General features: G+C 40.4%; 1 protein-coding gene across 13 annotated transcripts in view; it reads left to right on the forward strand.

Annotated features, from left to right (window-relative positions):
* The window catches only part of RTN3 (reticulon 3), a 78,442-nt gene that overhangs the window by 23,919 nt on the left and 37,825 nt on the right, over positions 1–16,698 (forward strand). For 5 of the 13 annotated variants that reach the window (XM_011544730.3, XM_017017091.2, XM_017017092.2 and 2 more), the window contains one exon: positions 13,334–15,664. The exons of 7 other annotated variants lie outside the window; for them this stretch is intronic. In XM_011544730.3, coding sequence (XP_011543032.1) covers positions 13,334–15,664 — 2,331 coding nt within the window. The remainder of the gene's footprint in view (positions 1–13,333; positions 15,665–16,698) is intronic. One more of the 13 variants, NM_001265590.2, reaches the window with a different exon arrangement.

The following is a 16,698-nucleotide window of genomic DNA, read 5'->3' on the forward strand; positions in this document are numbered from 1 at the left end:
ACTCAGGAGGCTGAGGTGGGAGGATTGCTTGAGCCCAGGGGCTGGAGGTTGCAGTGAGCGATGATCGTGCCACTGCACTCCCCGCTGGGTGAGAGAGCAAGACCCTGTGTCACCATCACCACCAACAGCAACAAAATTGTGGCTCAGGAAACACCCAACCCCTAGAATGCATTTAATATATTGTTTTGGAGCTATGAAACTGGTTTACAGAGGTAGCAGATTGGAAAAACAGTATAAAAGTGTGCTTCCACTGAACTAGAAAAATACCAGCCTAGCTAGGGTATTTTAATGTGAATTTATCTGAGACACGTCATAAAAGCTAGGCTAGTTCCAAATTGCCTACAAACATTGAACAAGTCAGTTATGTGACTTTTGGCAAGCAAGGCTTCTTGTCCTAGAGATTGAGTTGTGGCTTTGTTTTGTTTTGTTTTGTTTTTAATCTGTCAGTCTGTAGGGAAGGGAATCAGTTTGTGGAGGCAACATTGCCAAGAAGCTGAAAGAGAGGGTACTATGTGCTTCATCAATTTATACTAATAATAAAGTATTATTTCATTCGTGCTGTTTTTACTAGACCCAAATATATGTCAATTGAGAACCTTTATTTTAAAAGAGGAAAAAGTAATTAAAATCACTAGACAGATTGATAGATTTAAGAAGTCTTGTGCAAACAGTTTGTTGTTACAGGTGGAGTTCTCTAGCTGCAAAAGACTTTTATAAGAATAAAAACATAATGGGATTTAAAAAAATTAGTAAAACTTTTGCCTGGTTAAATCTGCTTCTTAGGAAACATGGTAGGGAATTTTTTTTTTAATTTGTTGTTGTTGTTGTTTTGAGATAGGGTCTCACTCTGTCACCCTGGCTGAAGGGCAATGGCACTTCATTGAATTCATAGTTCACTGCAGCCTCAATCTCCTGGGTTCAAGCGATCCCCCCACCTCAGCTTTCTGAGTAGCTGGGACTACAGGCACATGCCACCATGCCCTGCTAATTTTTTAATTTTTATTTCGTAGAGACATTTTGCTATGTTGCCCAGGCTGGTCTCGAACTCCTCAGCCAGTCTGGCTCAGCCAGTCCTTCCACCTTAGCCATCCACAGTGCTGGGATTATAAGCATGAGCCACCACCACACCTGGCCAACAATTTGTTTTAATTTAAACTGATGACATTAGAACCCCCAATTCCTTTATAATGTGTCTCATTGTGTGAATTTGGGTATCTTGTGGGCCAAATAATGACCTCTGAAATTAACATGTTTACATTAAAAGATAGAAATTTTGTTAATGTTAGAAAGTAACTCAAACGTATGAAGTAGTTATATTGTTCTTGACATTTGGAACTTGACAATATTTTTATTTTTAAGGATTTTTTTTTCTCATGAGAAAATAATTTAAGCAAATAGGTATTAAATTATTCTACTGTGGAAGAAAAATATGGTATAAATAGAACAAATAATTATTTCCTCTCTTGTAAGTATTTCAGATCTTTAAGAATACGTTCTAACCTTAAGTCACTATTTTTTTTCTTTTCTTTTTTCTTTTTTTTTTTTTGAGATGGAGTCTTACTCTGTCACCCAGGCTGGAGTGCATTGGTGTGATCTCAGCTCAGTGCAACCTCCACCCAAGAATCGCTCAAGCAGTTCTCTCGCCTCAGCCTCCTGAGTAGCTGGGATTACAGGCGTGCACCACCACGCCCAGCTAATTTTTGCATTTTTAGTAGAAACGGGGTTTCACCATGTTGACCAGGCTGGACTCAAACTCCTAAACTCAAGTGATTCGCCTGCCTTGGCCTCCCAAAGTGCTGGCATTACAGGCATGAGTCACGTCGCCAGGCCAAGTCACTTTTTTCATATAGAAAAGGGATAGTTGATACTCTAAACGGTGTAACGGTGTAACCCATGGCTTACATACCTAATGTATAACGTTGAAAAGATAACTGTCATAGCTTTAAAAATTATTTTAATCCCTGGTTAACAACACTTACATGTACACTCAAGTAGAAGGGAGGTAAATAAAAATGATTTAAATTAAAAATGAATGTTTTAATAGGCTTCAGTTTCACAGTGTGTATTAGAATTTGCAAGACAGCATACACTTATTCTTCCTTTTTGCCTACAAAAAAAATTTTTTGACCAATGTAGATTGAGAATAGTCTTATTGTAGAAAGGTAATTAAGAATGCCCTATCCGACTGTGCGCGGTGGCTCACACCTGTAATCCTAGCACTTTAGGAGGCTGAGGCAGGCGGATCACCTGACGTCAGGAGTTCGAGACCAGCCTAGCCAACATGGCAAAATCCCGTCTCTACTAAAAATACAAAAATTAGCCAGGTGTGGTGGCAGGCACCTGTAATCCCAGCTACTCGGGAGGCTGAGGCAGGAGAATCACTTGAACCCGGGGGACAGAGGTTGCAGTGAGCCGAGATCACGCTATTCATTGCACTCCAGCTTGGGCGAAAGAGCAAAACTCCGTCTCAAAAACAAAACAAAAGAATGCCCTATCCTCGAATGGGTTTCATTTAACCTATATTAGTAGCATTTTCTCCTGCAACAAACAAATAAACAAAACACATGATGGAAAAGTAGCCCAGTGGGGCCCTACGTCATTGGCAGTCTAGAGGTTAGCCTGTTCAGTTGTTTGAAGGAACACCTTGGCAGATGATTAGTTGTTTTCTAGGGTAGCCAAGACTGGTAGCTTCCAGTCTGCCTTAGTAAAAATAAGGGAAGAGGAAGCTGTTGATACATAGTTGGTTAACTGTATTAAAACCCTGAATGGAGATGAGGGCTCTGGGAACAGTCCACTTCCACACAGGCCTTTGAAAGTGACTGCTGCCACCTGCATGCACTTTGAGTCCGTCACTGACACTAACCCAACTAATTTCTTTGGCTTCATATACCTTAGCTATCTAGCCTTAGGGAAATTGTGTCTATTTTTATATACCCCAATCATATTAAGCAATATGTAGTAATAATAGGACTTAAAAAAAAAATAGAGACAAGGTCTCACTAGATTGCCCAGGCTGAACTCCTGAGCACAAGCGGTCCTCCTACCTTGGCTTCCCAAAGTGCTGGGATTACAGGCATGAGCCACCATACCTGGCCTAAATAGGACATGTTAAGATTTAAGTGACTTTTTTTTTATCCTGAAATACATATTTATCATTATTGGGTTTCAGGTAGATGCATGTATAAAAAATGTCATTGATTCAGACTGAGTTAAAGGCAGTTAAAGTTTTTAAAAGTAAATTTTGTGATATTTACTAAGTTGTACTGCTTTGAGAATACAGCTACATAAGCTAGGAAGTTAAACTTCTGATATGAATAGATTTCTAGTTAGAATGTCAGTGGAATAATCAGTTCCTTCTTCAATAAGTTGTACCCCTGAGTAGTCCTTGTCCTTGCAGTCTTTTGCTTATGGTTTCCTTTTTCCATCAAGCAACAATTATATTTCAGCCTAATCCCTGAGAGTTTCAAAATAGTGGATTACATTTTAATGATGTTTTCCTGTACTTCATAAAACATACAAAGATATTGACAGAAGTATAGATGTAGTATGTGGCTAATTTTTATTGAACTTTTACTATGCCCAGTAAACTTCACATGAATCATCTCATTTAATCTTCATAAGCAGTTCTATGAAGGGAAGGGACTAGCTCTTTTACCAATTGAAATGACTTGAAAATGGTGAAATCACTTGCTCAAGGTAACACAGCAAGTAAGTGATAGAGGGAGGATGCCAAAGCCGTGGTCATAACTGCTGTACCTATAATAAAGATGATCAAATAAACTAGCTGTATTTTAGGGTTTAGACTTCTTTTTAGAGATGGCATTTTGAAGTTAATATTAAAATCATGACAGCAGAAGAGGCAGATACCATTGTTTTGACCATATTATCACTATTAGTGATATAATTTAGTATCATCTGGGGTATATGCTCCCTCCAACAAAATCAAAATCAAACTGAAATTTTGTTTTACTTTTCAAAACCCTTGAGAGTGGAAGCTAGAAAATACTGTTTCTTTAGAAAACATTGGAAGAAAAGTAGGTGAAAATGAGATTGGAAAGAGGATCCATCCACCATGCCGCATTGGAAGCATTGCATTAATGAATGCTTGCATTCAATTTGACTAATGCAGTAGGCATCTGGAATAGGAAGTTACAACCCTGAACTTTGGGGGCAAGCATTGAGGAAAAAATAAATTTGCCAGTTACAGCCTTTTTTTAAAAAAAAAAAAAGAAAAACATTTTTCTTTGTACAAAAGAGACGTTTTGTTTAGGATCTAGCTTGGCTGCAGAATGTCTGCTGGCTAACTTCCTATTTTGATGCTGTGGCTGCAAGTTGTTGATACTGTTTTGCACGAATTTGTCTTGTTTTGTGAACATGAGAAAATTCAAGTGTAGGAAAACCTATACCTGAATATTTCAAACCTCCCTCAAATGAATATGCATAGTATGGATATGAAAAAGTAAGTTAGTGGCTACTACAGGCTGGCACCCATTCTTCACTGATGTATATAGTTATTCCATGTTATAGATATCCTTTTAGTAAAAAGTAATGAATTTCTTAGGTGAGCAGGTAATTAATCACATGGTAACTATAACCTAGTTTTAAACTATTTACTCTTTTTAGGAAGAACTCTTTGATATAGGATATAACATTCCTTATTCCTTAATTATAGATCACATTTTGTTTTTAGTAATTAAGTTATACGTACTTGAATAGATGAGTACTAAATCTTTATCTAAGAGACACTTTGGGGAAAAAGAAGCAGAATAAACAGTATATGAAGGGTTTTCAATTCAAATGTATTTACTCATAAGTATTTTTTGTTGGTTGTTTCTTTGTTTTTTAAGAGATGTGGTCTCACTGTGTTTCCCAGGATGATCTCAAACTCCTGGACTCAAGCAATCTTCCCGCCTCAGCCTCCTGAGTAGCTGGGACTACAGGCGGGCACCACTGTGCCCAGTCTTAGACATTGTAGTTTTTTTGTTTTTTTTTTTATCATGTTACTTTAAACTCCCCATCTTGCTCTGAAAGATAAAATACTCTAGGCATAAAAGAGAGAAATTTCTTCCTCAATTCCCATACCAGATTTTCTAGTCAGATGTGTTTTTTTCCTTATTCCAATAAAAATGCAGAATTACTGTACTTTAGAATTAGTATATGGAAGTGTTTAAAGTAGGCACGGGAAGACCGCTCCTGCTGTATGCCTTGGTACTCTTAAGTTGTGCAAGCCCATCTATGTGAGGAGAAGCCGTGACAGTGGCTCCTCCTGTGGGATTTTTATGGGACTAGAGCTCTGAAGTATGGCCCTTATCTTTCTGCTCTCCAACACATACCAAATGTATTAAGGCTGTGGTTCTGAAACCAGTTTCGTTGCCTGGGAAACTTGTAATACAGATTCCTGAGCTCTGTCCTCCTTAGGAAGTTCTGAGGCAGTAAATCAGAGATAAAGCCCATGAAGAACTAGTAGTTGCTCTTAAGTTTGAGAGGGATTGTGAAAAATTGTGCCAAAGGCTGTCTTTGTGCTCGGTTATTAAATTGTTCAGCTGGTTGTACATTGAACTAAAATATGCTTTGACCCTGCTGGTGGTAAAGATCATTTGTGAAACATTTTGTTGAGGAAAATTTACTGGCTGGGTGTGGTGGCTCACATCTGTAATCCCAGCACTTGTGGGAGGCCGAGGCGGGTGGATCACTTGAGGTCGGGAATTTGAGACAAGCCTGGCTGACATGGCAAAACCCCATCTCCGCTAAAAATACAAAAATTAGCTGGGTATGGTGGTGCACGCTTCTAGTCCCAGCTACTCAGGAGGCTGGGGCATGAGAATCACTTGAACCGGGGAGGTGGAGGTTGCAGTGAGCTGACATCAGGCCACTGCACTCCAGCCTGGTCGACAGAGTGAGACTGAGACTGTCTCAAAAAAAAAGGAAAAGTTATTTATCTTTCAGTGTTGGCTTAGAATTTCTTATATGTTAAGTTCTCTTGTGGGGTTTTTGGTTTTGTTTTTTGGGTTTTTTATTTTTTTTTTGTTATTTTTTTTTGAGACAGGGTCTCACTCTGTTGCCCAGGCTGGAGTGCAGTGGGTCAATTAGGGCTCACTGCAGCCTCAACTTTCCAGGCTCAAGCAATCCTCCCACCTTAGCTTCCTGAGTAGCTGGAACCACAGGCGTGTGCCACCACACCAAGCTAATTTAAAACAAAAAATTTTATTTTTGAGACGGAGTTTTCGTTCTTGTTGCCCAGGCTGGAATGCAATGGCGCGATCTCAGCTCACCACAACCTCTGCCTCCCAGGTTCAAGTGATTCTCCTGCCTCAGCCTCCTGAGTAGCTGGAATTACAGGCATGCACCACTACTCCCAGCTAGTTTTGTATTTTTAGTAGAGACAGGGTTTCTCCATGTTGGTCAGGCTGGTCTCGAGATCCCAACCTCAGGTGATCCACCTGCCTCAGCATCCCAAAGTGCTGGGATTACAGGCGTGAGCCACCGCGCTGGGCCCTACAATTTTTTATAGAGAAGGGATCTGTCTCATTATTTTGCCCAGGCTCGTCTAACTCCTGGGCTCAAGCAATCCTCCCACCTGGGCCTCCCAGAGTGTTGACATTACAGGCATGAGCCACTATGCCAGGCTGGGCTCTCAAGCATCTTTATCTGCATAGAACCTAGCACAATTCTTAGGATGCCATAGGCATTTGGTTTGTACCAACGTATTCAGACGTTGCATCACCTAAGATTTTGAAGTAGATAAAAGCTCTTTGAATTATCTTCCTTAATATGTGAATGGTAGGAGGGAAAGTGTCTAAAGCTCTACATGAGGATTTTCTGTATTATATACCAGATGAAGGTGGTTACAGTTTGCCAATATGCCTTTTCTCTCCCTAGTAAAAAGGCATGTGGTCTGGAGTCTCTATGTCAAGAGAGTTTTTTGAGAATGTGGTGTTTGGGGACATTTATTGGGGATTTACTAAGTGGCAGCTACTACTGTGAACATGTATTAACTCATTTAATCCTCACAGCAGTTCTAAAGTTAGGTGCTTTAATTTTCCCATTTTGATGAGATTGGATTAAGCAGTTTACTCAAGGCCACACGATTAGTAATTGTGATTAAAGGACTTTGATTTTTTTTTTTTTTTTTTTTGAGATGGAGTCTCACATTGTTGCCTGGGCTAGAGTGCAGTGGTGTGATCTTGGCTCACCGCAATTTCCACCTCCTGGGTTCAAGCGATTCTCCTGCCTCAGTCTCCCGAGTAGCTGGGATTATAGGCATGCGCCACCACACTCGGCTAATTTTTTTGTATTTTTAGTAGAGATGGGGTTCTCCATGTTGATCCGGCTGGTCTTGAACTCCTGACCTCGTGATCAGGACCAGCTCGGCCCCCAAAGTGCTGGGATTACAGGCGTGAGCCACCGTGCCTGGCCGACTTCGAATTTTTTAATAAGAATTTTTTGGCCGGGCGCAATGGCTCACACTTGTAATCCCAGCACTTGGAGAGGCCGAGGCAGGCGAATCACCTGAGGTTGGGAGTTCCAGACCAGCCTAACCAACGTGGAGAAACTCCGTCTCTACTAAAAATACAAAATTAGCTAGGCCTGGTGGCGCATGCCTGTAATCCCAGCTACTCCGGAGGCTGAGGCAGGAGAATCGCTTGAACCCAGGAGGCAGAGGTTGCGGTGAGCCAAGGTCACACCATTGCACTCCAGCCTGGGCAAAAAGAGTGAAATTCCATCTCTCAAAAATATAAAAGAATTTTTTATTTGGGTCTAAAAATTTAGAATTTAGAATATGACTACCAACTTAATTTCTTAGTCTTTGTTTCAGATAATATATCTCAGTGGAGTATTTAGAGTTTAAGAAGATGAGTAATCATGGAGCTGAGTACTTGATAAGTTTGAGAACATGTTCATGATCATTGTGGGGATATGACATTTTTTACCTCTTACCATATATCGATTCTCACCCACCCCCCATTTTTTGAAACAAGGTCTTGCTTTGTCACCCAGGGTGGAGTGCATGGCTCACTGCAGCCTCGACCTCCTGGGCTCAAGCAGTCCTCCCACTTCAGCCTCCCAAGTAGTCAGGACCACAGGTGTATGCCACCATGACTGGCTAATTGTTTAATTTTTTTGTAGAGATGGGGTCGCACTGTGTTGCCCAGGCTGGTCTCGAACTCCTGGGCTCAAGCTGTCTCCCTGCCTTGGCTTCTCAAAGTGCTAGGATTACAGGCATGAGCCACCACACTCAGCTGATTCCCTTTTTAGTAAATCTACTAGATCTATGACTTTATTTGTTAATAATTAGAGTAGCACCATGTTTTTAAGTGATTAGAACTCTTGAAAATGAATATCCACACTAAATTCCATTATAGCAAAGAACTAATTTAGAAAATGTTCATAATGAGAGTTTTGATGGCGATTTGTTTTGAGTAGTGTTGAAAGGCTCTTAGAGTGCATGTGAAGGGATGAATCTTTTGAGAAAAGAAAGATAGTAGACATTTTCTGAGACATAAAATAATCCAGATTTATTCCACCAGACAGCTTTACAGTGTATAGTATTTTAAGAGCTAACTGCCTTCAGATTCACTGGACTTTTCTGTCCTTTTGCCAGGTACTGACTTGGGCAACAGCAGTGACTACAAGTGCCATACTGACCAATTGGAAGAGTCTTTGCTTATCGGAGCTGTTCTAAAAGGCTTATTAGTTTTTGGTCTTCATTCTATTTAATGTTTTCATGCCTTTATAAACTTTTTACTTCCAGCCCAATTTTTCCCATTGTCTTGGTACAGGTCAGCTGTGTCCAAGTTTGTTAGGGTTTCAGCTAGCCAAAAATGGTATTTTCATTTGCTGAAATTCTAAACAAAATAATTAAAGTTAAAGCACAGATGATGATGCTACCTTATTTTTCTACATGTGGGAAAGCTTGATTGATAGTAATGATTAGCGCCTGCATCTCACAATCACTGAGAAATGAATGCAGCACTGAGCTCTGTTTGCCCTCTAAGCTTGTCCCCAGAAAAAACAAGATATACCCTAAATAGTAAGTTATAATATTTTTATTAGGGAACATTATTAGAGTTTTTTTTTAATATATCTCGTAGCCATGTCATATTAATCTTTTTTCTTTTTTCCTTTTTTTCATTTTTCTCTTTTCTCTTCTCTTCTCTTCTCTTTTCTCTTTCTCACTCTGTCACCCAAGCTGGAGTGCAGTGGCATGACCATGGCTCACTGCAGCCTTGACCTCCCAGACTCAAGCAATCCTCCCACTCCAGCCTCCCAAGTGACTGGGACTACAGGCACGTGCCACCATGCACGGCTAATTTTTCTATTTTTTGTAGGGGCAGGATCTCAGCATGTTGCCCAGGCTGATCTTGACCTCTTGGACTCAAGCAATTTTCCCTCCTGTGCCTCCCAAAGTTCTAAGATACAGGCATGAGCCACCACACCCAGCCTAGAGAATCCTTAATGTTTGAAGTCTGTCAGGCTATCATGGTGCTCAGCAGAGGATGTGTTAGTATTCTGAGAATAGGACTTCTAACTTTAGTTTTACCTGAGATTATTCTACACCTAACTTGAAACTTTTGGAGTATTAAAGGTTCAAAGAAGTTAAGAGAAAAGCAAAGCTTGATAAACTGACCAGTTTGTGTCCTGCTAAAGCATAGACAGTTTTACCATGCTCTTCCCAGTGACATGAATATTCTTTGGTTAGCATTCAATTTGGTTGCTTTCTTTTTTGTTTAATCAGGCACTGTCACCACTGTATTATTGTCATCATTTTGCTTATTGATTTTGCTTATTGTCTGCCTTCCCCTCTGTGTTGTAAGCTCCATAAAGGCAAGAAATTTTTTCTGTTTTATTCACTGCTTTAAGCCCAGTTTCTAAAACAGTGTCTGACACGTGGTAGGCACTCAATAAATACCTGTTGAATTATTACTAATTCATTTTGTAGACTTTCATCTGTAAGATGACAGATCTGAATCATCTGAAATCTCCATCTCCATAAAACATATAAGCTGGCTGGGTGCAGTGGCTCATGCCTGTAATCCTAGTACTTTGTGAGGCTGAGGCGAGCAGATTGCTTGAGCTCAGGAGTTCGAGACCAGCCTGCGCAACGTGGTGAAACCAGCTCTCTACTAAAAATACAAAAAATTAGCCAGGTGCGGTGGTGCACGCCTGTAATCCCAGCTACTTCGGAGGCTGAGTCAGGAAAATCGCTTCAATCTGGGGGGCGGAGGTTGCAGTGAGCCGAGATTGCACCACTGCACTCCAGCCTGGGCAACAGAACTAGACTCTGTCTAAAAAAAACACACAAAAAACACACAAAAAAACATATAAGCTGAACCTCCCCTGTGGGGTGGAGTCAGTTTGACTCACCTCAGAGTTGTTTGAAGAGAGAGGTTCCCAAACAGTTTTACCATAACCTTAGTTCACTGAATGTTTTGTGGTAGAAACACTGACTAGTAAGTTCAGTAACAATGCATGGCTCAGATTGTGGAATATTTCTGATTTAAATGTAATCTGTAGTACTTCACACTTCAGATTTTTGAACCTTTTAACCTACAATACTGGGCTTCATTTCTGTTATGCCCTAATCTAGTCATGCTGAATATCCATACTGTATAATGGTAGATGCAAACCATGTTTACTAAATTAGAACTACATATGAATTACAGTTTACTTCAAGTGTTTTGTTTTGGTAATATAGCTTTGCCACCAAGCTTTTACAGTTTTCCTTGAATGTACAAAGACTTTTTATTCTAATAACCAGATTACAGTTATACTATTTCTAAAGCTCAGCTCTTATTACATCAAGTTTCAGTGATGTGTTGAAGTAGGGGAACTTTATATGGCATTTCAAAACATTTTCATAATACTGGAATTTTATTTATTGTAAAATATTTTTGTCTTTAATAAAATAATTTTGAATGAAGTCATAATTTTGCTTTTATCTGGTATTTGGATGTTTACATGAAAAAGGGAACATAAGCTGAATAAAGGTAATCCCAAAAGAACTTCTCTGTCACATTTTCCCAGTTACTCATTCATGCTCAAGGCATTGCTGTCCTGAGCCTACTTAGGTCTCAGCTGACCAAGCTGAATCTTTGATTCACTTATTTGGGGCTATTTATTTAAGACCCACTTTGTCCCAGCTCCAAAGATACAACAGTATGCAAGAAAGACAGCGCCCAGGGTGGGCGTGGTGGCTCATGCCTATAATCCCAGCACTTCAGGAGGCCGAGGTGGGCAGGTTGCTTGAGCCCAGTAGTTTGAGACCAACCTGGCAATGTAGTGAGGCACCAGGTCTGTAGAAAGTTTAAAAATCAGGCCAGGCGCGGTGGCTCATGCGTGTATTCCCAGCTCTTTGGGAGGCCGAGGCAGGCGGATCACGGGGTCAGGAGATCGAGACCATTCTGGCTAACACGGTGAAACCCCGTCTCTACTAAAAATACAAAAATAAAATTAGCCAGGCGTGGCGGCGGGTGCCTGTAGTCCCAACTGCTTGGGAGACTGAGGCAGGAGAATGGCGCGAACCCGGGAGGCGGAGCTTGCAGTGAGCAGAGATCGCGCCACTACACTCCAGCCTGGGCGACAGAGCAAGACTCCGTCTCAAAAAAAAAACAAAAAAAAAAAAAAAAGAAAAGAAAGTTTAAAAATTAGCCAGGTGTGGTGGCATGTGCCTGTGGTCCCAGCTACTTGGGAGGCTGAGGTGGGAGGATAGCTTGAGGCCAGGAGGTCAAGGCTGCAGTGAGCCACAATTGTACCACTGGCACTCCAGCCTGGAGGACAGAGGGAGACCCTCTCTCAAATACAAACAAACAAATAAATGAAGTAAGAAAGCACCAGCCCTTGGGATATTTGTTTTGATCCTTTTCCCCAGTAAAAATTTGTTAGAGTGGGAAGTTAGAAAACAGTGTGGTAGATTGATGGCTACTATGGTATTAACTGATAAGACTTAACGTATTACTTTGAGAAGGATATTTTCTATTTTAAAAGTAATTCTGGAGTTAACTCTGTCTTTTTTTTTTTTTTTTTTTTTTTTTTTGAGACAGTTTCACTCTTGTTGCCCAGGCTGGGGTGCGATGGCGTGACCTCAGCTCACTGCCATCAATGTCTGCCTCCTGGGTTCAAAGGATTCTCCTGCCTCAGCCTCCCGAGTAGCTGGAATTACAGGTGCCTGCCACCACGCCCGGCTAATTTTTTTGTATCTTTAGTAGAGATGAGGTTTCACCATTTTGGTCAGGCTGGTCTCGAACTCCTGACCTCAGGTGAGCCACTGCACCCAGCCAAGTTAACTCTGTCTTAACCAAAGAAATCAATTTGCACAGTACAATATTGATTTAAATGACAAGTTAGTACAAGAGATTTTGGAGGGGCCAGGCGTAGCGGCTCACACCTGTAATCCCAGCACTTTGGGAGGCCAAGGCGGGTGGATCACTTGAGGTCAGGAGTTAAGAGACCAGCCTGGCCAACATGGTGAAACCCCATCTCTTCTAAAAATACAAAAATTAGCTGGGCTTGATGGTGCCTGCCTGTAATCCCAGCTACTTGAGAGGCTGAGGCAGGAGAATGGCTTGAACCTGGGAGGTGGAGGTTGCAGTGAGCTGAGATTGCGCCATTGCACTTCAGCCTGGGCAACAAGAAAAAGACTCCGTATCAAAAAAAAAAAAAAAAGATTTTGGAGGGGGTCCACCTTTTTCAGTACCCTTTAGTTTAGAACATCACAGCTATTTATTTGTACATGGGACAGATTCTCCCTGTGGATAGAATAGAATAATTCTAGTCTCATTTTTCAGATTCAGGAAGGGCCCATTGCATCTCCTAAAAATCAAAAAAGTCTGGCCACTAGTTTTTTTCCTTTTCAGATTGTGAGACTAACAGATTTATAGAGGCAGTCTGTGCTCTGAATTGTTCAGCTTACAGATTGAAGTCTATCAACCCTTTATAGTATCAGGTTATTTGTTTTGTATAAATTATTTTGCTTTTGTTGATTAGCTCTATCAAAGAATAAAAAACCTCCCAAGATTTCTCAATCTTACCGCCCTTCTTTATGCTTTCTCTGTACAATGGAAAAGTAGACCAAAAGTATTTGTCATGAAAATTTTTTATCATTTGCAGTTTGTGGCATGATATGGCTTTTCTGTTTCACTGTTGGCAGTTTTATGCATGTCCTGTAGGATAACTTGATCGTTTTGTTACATATTTATGTGTGTATATATACATCCTGTGTGTGTATATATATATTTATGTAATTTAAAAAATAAAAAGCATGCTGCTTGGCTTGGCTAGCTAATGTGTAATTGTACCTGGTAAACAATTTTTTTCTTTGAAATTCTGATCATAGAGGGATTGAGCTCTCTTTGCTCTGATGAGCCATCTTCAGAAATTATGACTTCTTCCTTTCTTTCATCTTCTGAAATACATAACACTGGCCTTACAATACTACATGGAGAAAAAAGCCATGTGTTAGGGAGCCAGCCTATTTTAGCCAAAGAAGGAAAAGACCACTTGGATCTTCTAGATATGAAAAAGATGGAAAAGCCTCAGGGGACCAGCAACAACGTATCAGACTCTTCAGTTTCTCTTGCAGCAGGAGTTCATTGTGACCGTCCTTCTATTCCAGCCAGTTTCCCAGAGCATCCTGCTTTTCTCTCAAAGAAAATTGGTCAAGTGGAAGAGCAAATAGATAAAGAGACCAAGAACCCAAATGGGGTATCAAGTAGGGAGGCTAAAACTGCATTGGATGCTGATGACAGATTCACTTTGCTGACAGCCCAGAAACCACCTACTGAGTACTCTAAGGTAGAAGGCATTTATACATATTCTTTGTCTCCATCCAAAGTTTCAGGAGATGATGTTATTGAAAAGGATTCCCCTGAATCACCATTTGAAGTAATTATTGACAAAGCAGCATTTGACAAAGAATTTAAAGACTCATATAAGGAGAGCACAGATGATTTTGGTAGCTGGTCTGTGCACACTGATAAAGAATCATCCGAAGACATTTCAGAGACTAATGACAAGCTTTTTCCACTGAGAAATAAAGAGGCAGGACGTTACCCAATGTCTGCATTGCTCAGTAGGCAGTTTTCACACACAAATGCAGCACTGGAAGAGGTGTCCAGATGCGTGAATGATATGCATAACTTTACTAACGAAATACTGACTTGGGATCTGGTTCCCCAAGTGAAACAACAGACCGATAAATCTTCTGACTGCATCACAAAAACTACAGGACTTGACATGAGTGAATATAATTCAGAAATTCCAGTTGTAAATCTTAAAACTAGCACTCATCAGAAAACTCCTGTATGTTCTATTGATGGGAGCACTCCCATCACTAAATCAACAGGTGATTGGGCAGAAGCATCTCTCCAGCAAGAAAATGCTATTACTGGAAAACCTGTACCTGACTCTTTGAATTCCACAAAAGAATTCAGTATCAAAGGTGTGCAAGGCAATATGCAGAAACAGGATGACACACTTGCAGAATTACCTGGATCTCCACCTGAGAAATGTGACTCTTTGGGTTCTGGAGTGGCCACAGTGAAAGTGGTTTTACCTGATGACCACCTGAAAGATGAAATGGACTGGCAGAGCTCTGCATTGGGAGAAATCACAGAAGCTGATAGTTCTGGTGAGTCTGATGACACAGTAATAGAGGACATCACAGCAGATACATCATTTGAAAATAACAAAATTCAGGCTGAAAAACCTGTTTCCATTCCAAGTGCTGTTGTAAAAACAGGTGAAAGAGAAATCAAAGAGATTCCCAGTTGTGAGAGAGAAGAAAAAACATCTAAAAACTTTGAAGAATTGGTCAGTGACTCTGAGCTGCATCAAGATCAGCCTGATATTCTTGGAAGGAGTCCAGCTAGTGAGGCAGCATGTTCAAAAGTACCCGATACGAATGTCTCCTTAGAAGATGTGAGTGAAGTTGCTCCTGAAAAGCCTATTACTACTGAGAACCCCAAACTTCCTTCAACAGTGTCTCCAAATGTTTTTAATGAGACAGAATTCTCATTAAATGTGACAACATCTGCCTATTTGGAGTCATTACATGGGAAAAATGTTAAACATATAGATGATTCCTCCCCAGAGGACCTGATAGCAGCCTTTACAGAAACCAGAGATAAAGGAATAGTAGATAGTGAAAGAAATGCTTTTAAAGCAATATCAGAGAAGATGACAGACTTTAAAACAACTCCTCCTGTAGAAGTCTTACATGAAAATGAGTCCGGTGGTTCTGAAATTAAAGACATTGGAAGCAAATACAGTGAACAAAGCAAAGAAACAAATGGAAGTGAGCCTCTAGGTGTTTTCCCTACCCAAGGTACTCCAGTAGCATCTCTTGACTTAGAACAAGAACAGCTCACAATTAAGGCTCTTAAAGAATTAGGTGAAAGACAGGTTGAGAAGTCAACTTCTGCACAGCGTGACGCAGAATTGCCTTCTGAAGAAGTACTGAAGCAAACTTTCACATTTGCTCCAGAATCTTGGCCACAGAGATCATATGACATCCTAGAACGTAATGTCAAGAATGGATCTGATCTTGGGATTTCCCAGAAGCCCATCACTATCAGAGAAACTACTAGGGTAGATGCTGTTTCCAGCCTTAGCAAGACTGAATTGGTAAAAAAGCATGTCCTAGCAAGACTTCTGACAGACTTCTCAGGTAACCATTTATATTAGAATACTGCATGTGGTTAATTCTGTGATTGATTACTTATCAGCGTGCCATTTATGTTAGTCTGATTTATACCTACAAAATTATGGCTAAAATACAAAAACAATATGCTGTATGATGGGAAAGGCAGATTCTTCTCCTGTCTTTTTTTAAATGATTGCTTGATTTGGTTTCCTTAATATCAATATTTCCCAAAGCAGTAGACCACTTTGTAACATTAATCTTCCCCTAAATATTTTTTCTATGCTCGCTGGGTACGGTGGCTCACGCCTATAATCCCAGCACTTTGGGAGGCCGAGACGGGCGGATCACAAGGTCAGGAGATTGAGACCATCCTGGCTAACACGGTGAAACCCCGTCTCTACTAAAAATACAGAAAAATTAGCTGGACGTGGTGGCGGGCGCCTGTAGTCCCAGCTGCTTGGGAGGCTGAGGCAGGAGAATGGCGTAAACCCGGGAGGCAGAGCTTGCAGTGAGATGAGATCGCGCCAGTACACTCCAGCCTGGGTGACAGAGCAAGACTCTGTCTCAAAAAAAAAAAAAAAAAGAAAATTTTTTTTCTATGCTCCAGTTATATTTCAAGGTACTTCTTTTCTTATAGGTTGCCCCTAAGGTGATATTAGGTGAGAATCTAATATCATCAGGTTCTTACTTATTTACAAAGCTTGTTTTTAAATCTCCATAATTGTCATACTTTTTAGCACTTGGATTTTTTGATATGTGCTTTGTGGAATCTTAGCAATCAAAGATAAAGGAATTCCTGCTGGGAAAGATAGTAAATGAAACTTTTAATTAATGTGATCGTATACTATAGAGATTTTATGCTCTGAAAGTAGGTAACCAGTATTGTAGTACTATTTTGTGAGTAATGCTTAGGAGAACTCATGCATTCTTCTACTTTCTATCTTATTTAATATTCTTCAGGCCAAAACTCATTATTAGATGGTACCAGAAACCCCTTCTCTTGTCTTTTATCTATTTCAAATGATCACTTTTCTAGCAAGTGGCTTTCAGTTAGATTA

This window comes from Homo sapiens, chromosome 11, assembly GCF_000001405.40.
Source record: "Homo sapiens chromosome 11, GRCh38.p14 Primary Assembly".
In the NCBI taxonomy this organism is placed as follows: domain Eukaryota; kingdom Metazoa; phylum Chordata; class Mammalia; order Primates; family Hominidae; genus Homo; species Homo sapiens.